The 13223-nt window shown below is 42.3% G+C and overlaps 1 protein-coding gene across 16 annotated transcripts in view; it reads right to left on the bottom strand.

The window, feature by feature from the left end:
* Positions 1–13223, bottom strand: part of DNAH3 (dynein axonemal heavy chain 3) — a 226349-nt gene that overhangs the window by 92761 nt on the left and 120365 nt on the right. For 15 of the 16 annotated variants that reach the window (XM_017023432.2, NM_017539.2, XM_047434349.1 and 12 more), the window contains 5 exons: positions 11890–12109; positions 10843–10977; positions 8103–8214; positions 5174–5415; positions 1156–1256 (listed from right to left, as the gene is read on the bottom strand). In XM_017023432.2, coding sequence (XP_016878921.1) covers positions 1156–1256; positions 5174–5415; positions 8103–8214; positions 10843–10977; positions 11890–12109 — 810 coding nt within the window. The remainder of the gene's footprint in view (positions 1–1155; positions 1257–5173; positions 5416–8102; positions 8215–10842; positions 10978–11889; positions 12110–13223) is intronic. The other variant, XM_017023426.2, reaches the window with a different exon arrangement.

The following is a 13223-nucleotide window of genomic DNA, read 5'->3' on the forward strand; positions in this document are numbered from 1 at the left end:
TACGGGCACCCACCACCATGCTTGGCTATTTTTTTGTATTTTTCTGTAGTAGAAATGAGGTTTCACCATGTTGGCCAGGCTGGTCTCAAACTCCTGACCTCAGGTGATCTGCCCGCCTCGGCCTCCCAAAGTGCTGGGATTACAGCATAAGTCATCGTACCTGGCCACCAATAACTCGATTAACAGGCATTTGGGCTGTTTCCAAGTGCTTGTTACTGTGAGTTCTGCCACTATATTTTTTGTACAGATCTCCTGTTGCACATGCCAAAAGTTTTCCTTGGGCCTGTACTTAGGAGAATGGCTGGCTCTTGGGCATACGGAGATTCAACTTTAGGAGATAATATCAAACTGTTTCCAAAGTACTTGCTGGGTTTTAGACTCCCACCAGTAGTGTGGACTGAGGGCTGATTTTATGACAAATCTAAATGAATGACAAATAATATAATGCTAAGCAAATTAACGCAGGAACAGAAAACCAAATCCCGTATGTTCTTACTTATAAATGGGAGCTAAACATTGAGTACACATGGACACAAAGAAGGGAACGATTGGCTGGGCACGGTGGCTCATGCCTGTAATTCCACACTTTGGGAGGCTGAGGCAGGCAGATCACGATGTCAGGAGTTTGAGATCAGCCTGGCCAACATGGTGAAACCCCATCTCTACTAATAATACAAAAATTAGCCGAGGGTGGTGGCGTGTGCTTGTAGTCCCAGTTACTGGGGAGGCTGAGGCAGGAGAATCGCTTGAACCTGGGAGGCAGAGGTTGCAGTGAGTCGAGATCATGCCACGGGACTCCAGCCTGGGTGACAGAGTGATACTCCGTCTCAAAAAAAAAAAAAAAAAAAAAAAGAAGGAAATGATAGATATGGGAGCCTACTTCAGGGTGGAGGAGGGTGAGGATGGAAAAACAACCTGATTAACTGGGTGACTAAACAATCTGTACCCCAAACCCCCATGCCATGCAATTTACTCATGTAACAAAGCTGCACATATACCCCCTGGAACCTAAAATAAAAATTGGAAAGAAAAATAATAATAATGTAGATGATCTGCGAGGGCTTCATCACATTTGTGAAATTTGAGAGCTTTCTCTTTTGCTTAGGGTGAGTGGAGCCACACTGTCCCCCGGGGTGCCAGTGAGGGCTGCCTCACCTGCTCACAGTGGCTGGAGAGGCTTGCTCGAGGTCGGCGGGCTCGAAGATCAGGCTCATCTTGGAGTTCATCTGGATAATTTCCCCACTCATGAGACACAGCTAAAAGTGCAAAGCAGAGGGTAGCAGACAGGGGAAAGGCTTAAATTCCATCTGCAAGTAAGAGGTCTCAGTGCAGACAAAGCTGGTTTGATTCATTCCATAAATATTTCTTGAGCACTTATGATGTCCCAGGCACTGTTATGCACTAACTCCTAGGTGCATAAAATAAAACACAAAATTTCCTATCCTCTTGGGGTTTACATTCTTCTGGGAGATGACAGACAATAAGCAAAATATATAGTGTTCGAAGTGGTGAAAAGTGCTCTGGAGAAAAATTTAGTAGAAGAGGGGGTTGCATCTACACATACATATATCTACACATACATATACTATATAGATCCACACCTAAGTGTGTATTTATTTAGTGATGGCCTTCCTACTTCTTAAAAAAATGTGTATAGGGAAAGTCACAAATAAAGTATAACAAAGAGGCTGAGCATGGTGGCTCACGCCTGTAATCCCAGCACTTTGGGAGGCCGAGGCGGGTGGATCACTTGAGGTCAGGAGTTCAAGACCAGCATGGCCAACATGGTAAAACCCTGTCTCTACTAAAAATACAAAAATTAGCTGAGCATGGTGGCACATGCCTGACCTCAGTCAGGGTTGAGTGAGCTGCAATTTTAATAGGAAAGCCAGGGAATCACTGACCTTAGATGCAATCTCAGATGAAGAATCGAGAAGTTATCAGACCTCACCAAGTTTCCTGGTCCCTTTCTCAATATTTAACATAGAACTTAACTGCAAAGCCACATCCTATTTTTATTTGCTCAATTCTTTCACAAAAGACCCATATTTGAACACCCGCATGGACTAATCCATAGCAGGAGGGACAAAAGCCTTTCCATAAATTCTTTTTATTTTTAATTTTTATTTGCTTTTGAGACAGGTGTTGCTCTGTTACCCAGACTGAAATACAATGACACATTTGCAATCACTCCATCCTCGACCTTTGGGGCTCAAGCGATCCTCCCACCTCAGCCTCCTGAGTAGCTAGGATTACAGGTGTGTACCTTCACACGTGGCTAGTTTTTTATTTTTTGTTTTTTGTTTTTAGATTAAATCAATGTTTCCATAATATATTTTTTAAAATTTTTTTTGTAGAGACAGGATCTCACTGTGTTGCCCAAGCTGATCTCAAACTCCTGGGCTCAAGCAATCCTCCTGTCTCTGCCTCCCAAAGTGCTAGGATCACAAGCATAAGCCACCGTGCCTGGCCCATAAATCTTTTTTAGAATAGAGTGAAAGAAGCTAGGCACAGTGGCTCGTGCCTGTGATCCCAGCACAGCACTTTGGGAGGCCGAGGAAGGCAGATCACTTGAGGTCAGGAGTTGGAGACCAGCCTGGCCAACATGGTGAAACCCAATTTCTACTAAAAGTACAAAAAAAAAAAAAAAATAGCCGGGCATGGTGGCACGCATCTGTAATCCCAGCTACTAAGGCAGGAGAATTGCGGGAGGTGGAGGTTGCAGTGAGCTGAGATCGTGCCACTGCACTTCATCCTGGACAACAGAGGGAGACTTTGTCTCAAAAAAAAAAAAAAGAAAGAAAAATCATCAGAATTTCTAGTGTGTAGCAAGTAAAACCCTGTAGGAAGTAGTGCAATTACACAGGAAAGCCTTGGAATATATACTAAGTCAATGACACTGTTTCCTACTCACGAAAATGGATTCCAGTGAGATGTTTAAGTTATAAGAAAGGCCTGAGGCCCTTGTCTCCCAGGGGAGAAGAGGAAATACGACTGATTCATTCTGCTCATCCTAATTTGTGATTAAAAACTTCCCTGCATCTTACTTGGCCTGCATCAAACACAACTTGAAACAGGTCACTGCCTGCATCCCCAGGAAGATCACAGCTGTTACAAGGCTGACACCACCAACCGCGTCATCTCTGAATATAAAGAAAGCTAAAACAGACCCACACCTGTGACTGTAGTTTCATTTACATCCAGAGCAGAGGAAAACCATTAGGAAATTCACTTATTATGACTCTCTTGATACTTCTAATCTCAAGACCAACCGATACATCTGTACAATTAGTTTATATAATATAGTCCATATCATGTAATAAAACATTTCCATTTTTGAATATTATATAATCAAAATTATGCACATGCTATAATTAGTGGATGTGTATAATTTGGATAATTAGCCCTTTCGTTGTTGAGCATGACTCACTCTTAGTCTTGTGACATTTAAACACAGTTAGAAAATATATTTTGATTTGATAATGATGTATATCCAGTGAAGGAATTCTTCCTTGAGATGATGATAAATTTTATTTTAAACAGTTATATAGCACTTGCTATATGCCAGGCACCATCAGAAGAGGTGTATAAATAGTAACTTATCTAATCTTCGTAACAGTATAAGGTAGACGCTATCGTCCCTACTTTACAGATGATGAAGTTGGGGCATCAAGAGACTAAATAGCTTGTCTGAGGTTACATAGCTGGAAAGTGGCAAGGCCAGGATTTGAACCCAGGCTCTCTGGCTCCAGAGTCCAAGCTCTTTTAGCCACCATACATACTGTGGCGCCATACTTACTGTGTTATCACTCTACTCTACTTATTTTTCCAAAGATTGGTGGTATTTTTGCAAAGATTGCTATATTTTCCAAAGGTCCTGGCATCAGTTTGGACTCCTAACTCTACTATTGAGCTGTGTTGTGTTGGGCAAGTTACATAAATTCCATCCCATATGCCCCCACTTTTTTTTTGAGACAAGGTCTTTCTCTGTTGCTCAGCTTGGAGCACAGTGGCACAATGAAGGCTCACAGTAGCCATGACTTCCAGACTCAAGGGATCCTCACACCTCAGCCTCCTGAGTAGCAGGACTACACGCACTTACCACCATGCCCAGTTAATTAAAACAAATTTTTTTTTTGTAGAGATGGCTCACTGTGTTGCTCAAACTGGTCTTGAACTCCTGGGCTCAAGCAATCCTCCTGTCTCAGCCTCTAGAAGTGTTAGGATTACACGTGTGAGCCTATAGGGCCCAGCCCATATGCACTTTTGCAATGTGACCTGTCTGCCTCCATCAAGAGGTGAAGTCTATTTTTCCACTTCCTGGTCAGGCCTTGTGAGTTCCTTGACCAACAGAATGCAGAGAAAGTAATGCTTATCAGTTTCAAGCATAGCTCTTAATATCTTGGAAACTTCCACTTCCTGACTCTTGGAAATCACCCACCACATAGGAAGCGCCACTACCAAGACACCACCAAGTGAAAAGCCCAAGCCATGTGAAGTGGCCTGGAAGAGGAGGTATTATTTTTAGAGAGAAAGAAAAAGAGAGAGAGAAAGATGGGCCAAATATGATTGTGCCACCAGGCATTGAGTGAAGACGCCATCTTGAATGCGGATTTTCTAGCCTGAGCTGCCCCAGCTGACATCAAAAGAGAGACCAACTGGCCAGCTGAGCCCTTTCAAAATTCCCAGCCCACAAAATCATGAGGAAAAGAAATGGTTGTTTTAAGCCGTTAAGTATTAGGGTAGTTTGTTATATAGCAATAAGTAACCAAAACATATCCCGCAGGTACTATGTGCAATCTCATTTAAGTATCAACAACCTCATTTTATTACTACCTTTCTACAAATGAGAAAACTGAGATTCAGAGAAGTGATGTGACTTGCTCAGTACAACACAGCTCAGTTGCAGGGCTAGGAGTCCAAACTGATGCCAGCACTAAGGCTCACTATTCAACGTGGTCTCTAAACATGCTTAGCTTACCAACTACAAGTACAAACAGAGCATAATTCATGAATTGATTACTATAATCCTCCTGTGGGGCATTTATTCTTAATGTATACAGAATACATACATAATAAATGTATGTCTCTATATAGTTTTGATCAATCACTTACTTCAATAAAAGAGTTTATGTCTCACTCATGGAAAAGTCATATCAGGGTCAATACTTACCTTTTTATTGTCATCCAGAACAGTGTTCATATTTTCAATCCAAATAGCATCCACTGGCCCATCAAATATAATCCACTTGCGATCATCAGAGAGTGAAGACGCTTGCTCCCGGAAAGCATTGGCAAGGACACCATCCATCCACTCGTGGCTCACTTGGTCAAAGCACCCATACAGCTGCCCCATCGTGATAGCCTTGGGGTTGATGATCTTGTACTCCACAGCAAACTCCTCCATCTGATTGGCTGGGCAAGAAGGTTCAACACCAGTTATAAAGGCTCTGGTGAGACCAGAAGGTTAAACAAGAGATGATGTCATCTCAACAACCAATCAACTTTTATAAATATGCCATATGAGGGAAGTCCTTCTTATAAAACATGTGCTCAGTTTTTATAGAGATTGGGATCTGGGGCCAGGAGCTGTAGTAGCTCACACCCATAATCCCAATACTCAGGGAGGCCAGGATGGGAGGATCACTTGAACCTGGGAAATGGAGGCTGCAGTGAGCTATGATTGTGCCACCACACTTCAGCCTGAGCAACAGAATGAAGCCGTCTCTCAAAAAAAAAAAAAAGACTGACTGAGACATCTGGATAGGCAATGCCTTACATTATTGGGTTATTATAGCCTTTGATTTCTCACCATACTTTCTTCCAATCCTCTTTTCAAATAGGGCAAATGTGCCAGTCAGATCCAGGACTACTTGCTGGGCACAGTGGCTCACGCCTGTAATCCCAGCACTTTGGGAGGCCAAGGCAGGTGGATCACTAGAGGCCAGGAGTTTGAGACCAGCCTGGCCAATATGGTGAAACCCTGTCTCCACTAAAAATGCAAAAATTAGCTGGGCGTGGTGGCGCATGCCTGTAAACCCAGCCATTCGCCACTTGGGAAGCTGAGGCAGGAGAAACACTTGGACCTGGGAGGTGGAGGTTGCAGTAAGCTGAGGCCATGCCACTGCACTCCAGCCTGGGCGACAGAGTAAGACTCTGTCTCGAAAAAAAAAAAAATCCAGGACTAAAGAAATCTGACTGCCCTCACAGAACTCAAGCAGGAAGGGAGAGTGACGCCTATTATCAGCCCTCTATGTACCTGCTCTCACAGCCACCCTAAGAACCTTGGCTTTTCAAACTCAAACAGGCTGAAGGAAGAAATTAAAAATGAAAAGAACAGATCAGAACCTTGGCTTTGATTTGAAATGAGGAAACGGGAAACAGCTGACAGGTAAAAAGGTTCTGAAAAATGATGGTTACTTTTCTGTCTCTGAAGGGCTAGTTTGGCCCCGAAATCGTTCTTGACTGCTCAGTGAGTGTCATTTGTTCCCAAGAAATACACGCTGGAGTATTAAAACTCAATTGGAACGTACAGGCTGATGGATGGCACAGCATATGTATTTAATAACAAAAAAAAATCACAATGCTTTTATGGAATCCTTCAAAGTAGGGAAAAGTTGAAGTGCTTGAGTCATGAACTAAATAAAGAACCACCTCTGGGCCAGGTGTTGTGGCTCATGCCTGTAATCTCAGCACTTTGGGAGGCTGAGGCAGGAGGATTGCTTGAGCTCAGGAGTTCGAGACCAGCCTGCGCAATATGGCAAAACCCCATCTCTACAAAAAATACAAAAATTAGGCGGGCATGGTGGTGCATGCCTATGATCCCAGCTACCCGGGAGCCTGAGATAGGAGGATTGCTTGAGCCCAGGAGGCAGAGGTTGCAGTGAGCCGAGACTGTGCCACTGCACTATCTCTAAAAACCATTAAAAATAATTAAATAAATAAAAAAGAACTACTCTGCAGCATCCTGAGGCAAACACAGTGGTAGCCTCCTTTTTCTTCACTCAGTTTCTTAAGGTATATTAAAATGGTATATTAAAGGTATATTTCTTTAAGGTATATTAAAATGCTAAAAATATTTTATATTTTATTATATTCTATTATTTTATTTTGAGACTGGATCTCACTCACCCAGGCTGCAATTGCAGTGCAGTGCGCAATCATAGCTCACTGCAGCCACAAACTCCTGAGCTGAAGTGATCCGCCCGCCTTGGCCCCTCAAAATGCCGGGATTATGGGTGTGAGCCCCTGTTCCCTGCCTCAAAATTTGTATCTAAATTTGAGATGCCCAAATTAGTTATTAAGGCTAGGATAACCCCCAAAACATAACCTCAAAAACCCAATCATCAAATGTTATTAGAAAAAAAATTTTAAATGAAAAACTTGAAGCAATGCATGCACGAAAAGGAAATGCTTTTATGAAACTATAGGTTTGTGTTTTATAAAAACAAAACAAAACAGACACACACACGAAAAAACCCACAACTGTTTCTCTGGCAGGAAACATAGTTTCCATTTGTTGCGTAGGCACTGTGCTCAGTTATTTACCTGCATGCTGTTACTTAATTCTCATAACAATCCCATTTTACAGCTGGGAAAACAGAGGATAACACAGGTTTAGTCATTTGCCCAAGTCTGAGTCTGATTCAAAAGCAGGAGCTCCTATCCTTGACTTTAAAAGGAAGGAAAGAAGAAAAGAAGGGAAGGAGGGAGGGAAAAAACTAAAGGGAAGGGAACAGGAAAAGAAGAGAATAGAAGCAAAGAAGCAAAACCATGCAGTGATTTGCTTTTAGACTAATTTTAAGGCCAATGACAAGAGTTTCTCTTTCACTGGGGGACCTTTGGAGAAACCACTGCTCAGCATTTGAGACAATTCCTCCAGGCCTTAATGATATGCACATGAAATCCCTTGTTATTATAGAAGCACCCCGCCCCCAACCCTTTATTTTCTGCTTGCAGACATCTGTGTGCCATGTTCTATTTCTAGCTCTGACGTCACGATCGAGGCCTGACAAGACTAGCAGCCTGGCATTATCTCCATGGAGCCAGCCAACTGAGCGAGGAGTTCTGTCCTCCCTGGAAGCCAGGGATGTGAGCTTTACCTGCGTGTAAATCGCCGAGAGCTGCAGCCAACACTTTATAAGCAGAGGTCTTGCCGCCCATGGGGTCTCCTACAATCATATAGCCATGTCTCACCAGCATCATTTCGTAGATCTGGGAGGAGACATCATTCATAAAAGAAGCTAATCATTGCAACGCTCCCCCATTGTGAGTTAGTCAGAAGTCAATGAGGAATGAGGGGTCAGAAGAGGATTCTCACAGTTGCTTCTACCTCTGGAGAACTTCGGTTCTTTTCATGGTCTATTGTTTACATATCTTTCAGACGAAAAAATATATGTGTGTGTCTCAGATTATTTAAGGGATGGGAACTACCATTTGCTCTGTACTTGTCTATGTGTTAAGAATCAACTGATAACCCAAATTATTTAATCTACTCCAATATCATTGACCACCTTTTACAAAGGGTAAGACTGAGCCCAAGAGAGGTTAAATACTTGCCCAAGTTCATCAGTGATGGAGCCAGAATTTGCAGACAGGGCTATTTGACTTTAACGCCTCTAATATTTTCATGACACTATTGCCATTTATTTTTAAAGAGAAAAAGAAAATGGCGGTCATTTTAGCAAATTGTGTTTCTCCTGGAAACTTTCTTTCTTGAGATCTAACTGCTTTGGTCATTTGCATTTATGTGAATTTTATGGTTTAAACAAATTTGCTCCTTTAGACTGTGACTCCCTCAGAGAAAGGGAACACAAGCAGCTTTGTATTTTAAAGATTAAGTTCTTATTATTTTTCACCTTGGAGGTGAGTAATAAGAAGCATCTAAATGAAGGTAGTGACAACGGGAGTGGTAGAGAAAGGAACACATGTAATTCAGCAAATATTTTTTGAGCATCTACTATGTGCCAGACACTGTTCTGGGTGCTGTAGACAGAGCAGAGAACAAAACAAACAAATCCCTAACCATTAAGTAGGGTTGACATTCAGGTAGGTTTGAAAGCTACTGTTTGAAAGTTACAGAGCAGAGAACAATACAAAATCCCTAACCATTAAGTAGGGTTGACATTCAGGTGGTTTGAAAGCTTGACTGTGCATCAGAAATAAGAGAGGAAGGCTGGGCTGGGTAGCTCACACCTGTAATCCCAGCACTTTGGGAGGTCAAGGTGGGGGGATCATTTGAGGTCAGGAGTTTGAGACCAGCCTGGCCAACATGGTGAAATCCCATGTCTACTAAAAATACAAAAATTAGCCGGGCATAGTGGCACATGCCTGTAATCCCAGCTACTCGAGAGGCTGAGGCAGCAGAATCGCTTGAGCCTGGGAGGTGGAGGTTGCAGTGAGCTGAGATCACGTCACTGCACTCCAGCCTGGGTAATGGAGGGAGACTGTTTAAAATAAAAAACGAATAAGAGAGGAAAACATTAAAGATTCAATAGCCTCTCACATTCTTCCTCACATTGAGACATCAATAAGTAAAAGGGCAGGTAGCTCCAGAACCCTTGTTTTTGAAAATATTACCTTGTTTTTGTAAATTGGTACTAAGCTACATGAAAGTTCATCTGTAGATCCGCAAATTACTTTGAAATATATCAAAAAGTAAGATGGATGGATGGACGGATGGATAAAAAATAAAACAAATAGTATAAAATATTAATTGTAAAATCTGGGTGGTGAGTACATGAATGTTCTGCGTACGTTTCGTTCAATTTTTCTGCATGTTTAAAATTTTTCATAATAAAATATTGAAAATTAAAGTTCATGCCTAGTTAAAGAATGGTCCTTCTGCAAAATCTCAATCATAAATTGGGGTTCAAAATTGGGTTAAATGAGTTGTGTCAAAAATTAGCTCACTTGCTAATACAGTAGGAAAAAGAATGATTGTTTTTACCACAAGGCAGTGTGATCTCAGAATCTGGAGACCTGGGTCCTAACTTCACTTGTAACTCACATTGTGACTTTGGGAAATGATGATGCCAATGGTGCTGCTGATGATGACGGAGATGGTGGAGTTGATAATGATATAGTATCAGGTACTATGTGTAGCACTTTACACACCTCTTCTCTCAAAATGACTCCATTTTACAGAGGACTGAGGATAAAAGAGGTGAACTAATTTGCCTAAAATCTCACAGCAAAAAATGATGGGATTTGGGAGGCTGAGGTGGGTGGATCACCTGAGGTCAGGAGTTTGAGACCAGTCTGGGTAACATGGTGAAACCCCATCCCTACAAAAAGTACAAAAATTAGCTGGGGGGTGGCGGCACGCACCTGTAATGTCAGCTACCCAGGAGGCTGAGGCAGGAGAATCGCTGGAACCTGGGAGGCAGAGGTTGCAGTGAGCCAAGATTGCACCACTGCACTCCAGCCTGGGCAACAGAGCAAGACTGCATCTCAAAAACAAACAAACAAACAAACAAACACAAAAACTGATGGAGTAAGTAAGTGGGTTTTTTGGTTTTGGTTGTTTGTTTTACCTCCATTTCTTTCTTCTTTTTTTTAAGAGTCAGGGTCTCACTCTGTCACCCAGGCTGGAATGCAGTGGTATGATCATAGCCCACTGCAGCCTCGAACTCCTGGGCTCAAACGATCCTCCCACCTCAGCCTCTCAAGTAGCTGGGACTACAGGCATAGGCCATTACGCCCAGCTAATGTTTTACTTGCATTTCTACACAGGCACCTCTGATTGCTGTCACTTCAGTTCCAATCTCCTATAAGACTTTACTGTTTGCTGACTTCAGCAAACAGTAAAACAGGCACATTTATATGGGCTAAGGAACCAACCTGGATAATTTTCCCTATAAACCAAGGTACTGGCTGGAGTTTCATCTTTTTGATGTTATCATTCAGCACTTTCAGAAAAACTTCATAGTCTGGCTTTGGAAGAACAACTCCAGGAAATAAATCAGATATAATTCCCTGTTAAAAAGAATTTAAAAGAAAGTGGAAAGGATAAAGTATCAGATATATGACCTCAACATTTTCCTAAAATGAGATGTATCAACAACAGAGATCTTTGAAAAATTCCAGACCTTATTTTTCTTGCACCAAAACTTTTCTACAATTACAAATGAAAATGCTATTTATAAAACATAATTTCTGGCTAGGCCAGAATCCCTGTGTAATCCCTGCACTTTGGGTGACCGAGGTGGGTGGATCACCTGAGTTCAGGAGTTCGAGACCAGCCTGGCCAACATGGTGAAAACCCGTCTCTACTAAAAATACAAAATTCAGCTGTGCATGGTGGCTCATGCCTGTAATCCCAGCTATTCGGGAGGCTGAGGCAGGAGAATCACTTGAATCCAGGAGGCAGAGGTTGCAATCAGTCGAGATCATGCCACTGCACTCTAGCCTGGGCGACAGAACAAAACTCCATCTCAAAAAACAAAACAAAAACAAAAAAACCGTGTAATTTCTCCCCCAAATAATTTTAAAAGTCAGCAAATATTTAATAAGTCTGGATTATCTTCCAGTCACTGTACTAGGAATGAACAAGATAGTAATGACTTCTGTCCTTATGAAGCTCAGAGCCTGGCAAGTAAGATTAAATTAAATTACAAAAGGAAACTAATTAAACTGGATAAAAACACATATGTATACCCAAGAGCAAATATTATCCTATCAGTGAAACCATTTTTATTAAAAATCAGGCAGAGATGTTTGCTATCTATCACTCTTATTATTTAACATTTGCAGGGAGGGTATCAGGTGGCAGAGATGCTGGCCAAAGAATGGAAGATGGAAGAGGGTATGGGGAAGGCACCAAACACAACATTTCATCTTCCAACATTGAGCCTTGGTCCTCGGCCAAGGTCCTGAACCGCTACATACCTGAAACAGAGGGACATCTTGCGCTAAGAACTTGGCCAGATTGACATCAAGCAATGCCCGGAGCAGCAGGACACTTTCATTCTCCTCTGGATACTTGAGCTTCAGGTTTCCTGCGGCAGTAAGCACAGACTTGACAGCGCGCATACCGTAGTCATAGTGATGCTGAGAGGACAGTTGTTCCGAGCACAGGCGGTAGGTCGCAACGATCTTCTGGGCGAGACTAGAAGGGCAAAGACATGTATGCGGACACCCAGAGAGGACTACGTCCTGCCCAGCAGACATTCCCAATATCCTTGTCCTTGCCCCGTCAGCAACCAGGCATGCCCATGGACTTGATGGAGAAGCCCTATCCTTTAAGGATATTTTAATAGAGTTACCATAATGTGGTATGGAAGCATGAAAAAAAGCAAGTGAACATATATGTATAACATGTATGGTATATGAAATGATACGTTTTTGGCCAAGTGCAGTGGCTCATGCCTGTGATCTCAGCACTTTGGGAGGCTGAGGCAGGAGGATCGCTTGAGGCCAGGAGTCCGAGGCCAGGAGTCCAAGCCCAGCTTCAGCAACATAGCGAGGCTCTATCTCTACAGAAAAATTAAAAAATGAGCTGGGCATGGTAGCATGGCACCTGTCATCCCAGCTACTCGGAAGGCTAAGGGTGGGAGGAGCTCTTGAGCCCAGGAGTTCAAGGCTGCAGTGAGCTGTGATTGCATCACTACACTCCACTTTGGATTTTCAGATGAGATTGGCTGCGTTCAGTGTGGTATGGCTGTAGACTCATTTTGGATTTTCAGCGAGTAAAAAATAAACTTTGTTATGGTAAGCCATTGAGATTCAGGGGTCAGCGTTACCCTAACTAATACACTTATGCACTTTTCTCTCAAGGAGATCCTCTTTACAGAACTGATTTCCTTTAAAAACAAAGACTTTGTGTTGTTCACCAGCACCCAGCACAGGGCTGGGCATAAGGTTGGTGACTCAATAAAGGTTTGCTAATTAAATAAATAAATGAATTGAGTGAGCAAATCAATGCAATCCTGGTTACTATAGAAAACAAATGAGTTAAATGTCATATGACTGAGGCAGCCTCTTGGCCTAGGAAGGGTGATATTCTATTGAGAATTTCTGTAGCCCCTTGGATTATAAACAAAGACATCCAGGCCATAAAGACATTCATTATAACAGAAAGTCAATTGACATGATAAAATTTGGAATAGATCAATACAAGCCATTTTGCAACGATTATTCATAACTCTTGGTGCATGTGTTATATGTATGTGTGTATACACACGTACACACTTGAAGACACTGATCCGTGTATAACTGTGTGT

The sequence above is a fragment of the Homo sapiens genome, chromosome 16 (genome assembly GCF_000001405.40).
Source record: "Homo sapiens chromosome 16, GRCh38.p14 Primary Assembly".
NCBI classification, from domain to species: domain Eukaryota; kingdom Metazoa; phylum Chordata; class Mammalia; order Primates; family Hominidae; genus Homo; species Homo sapiens.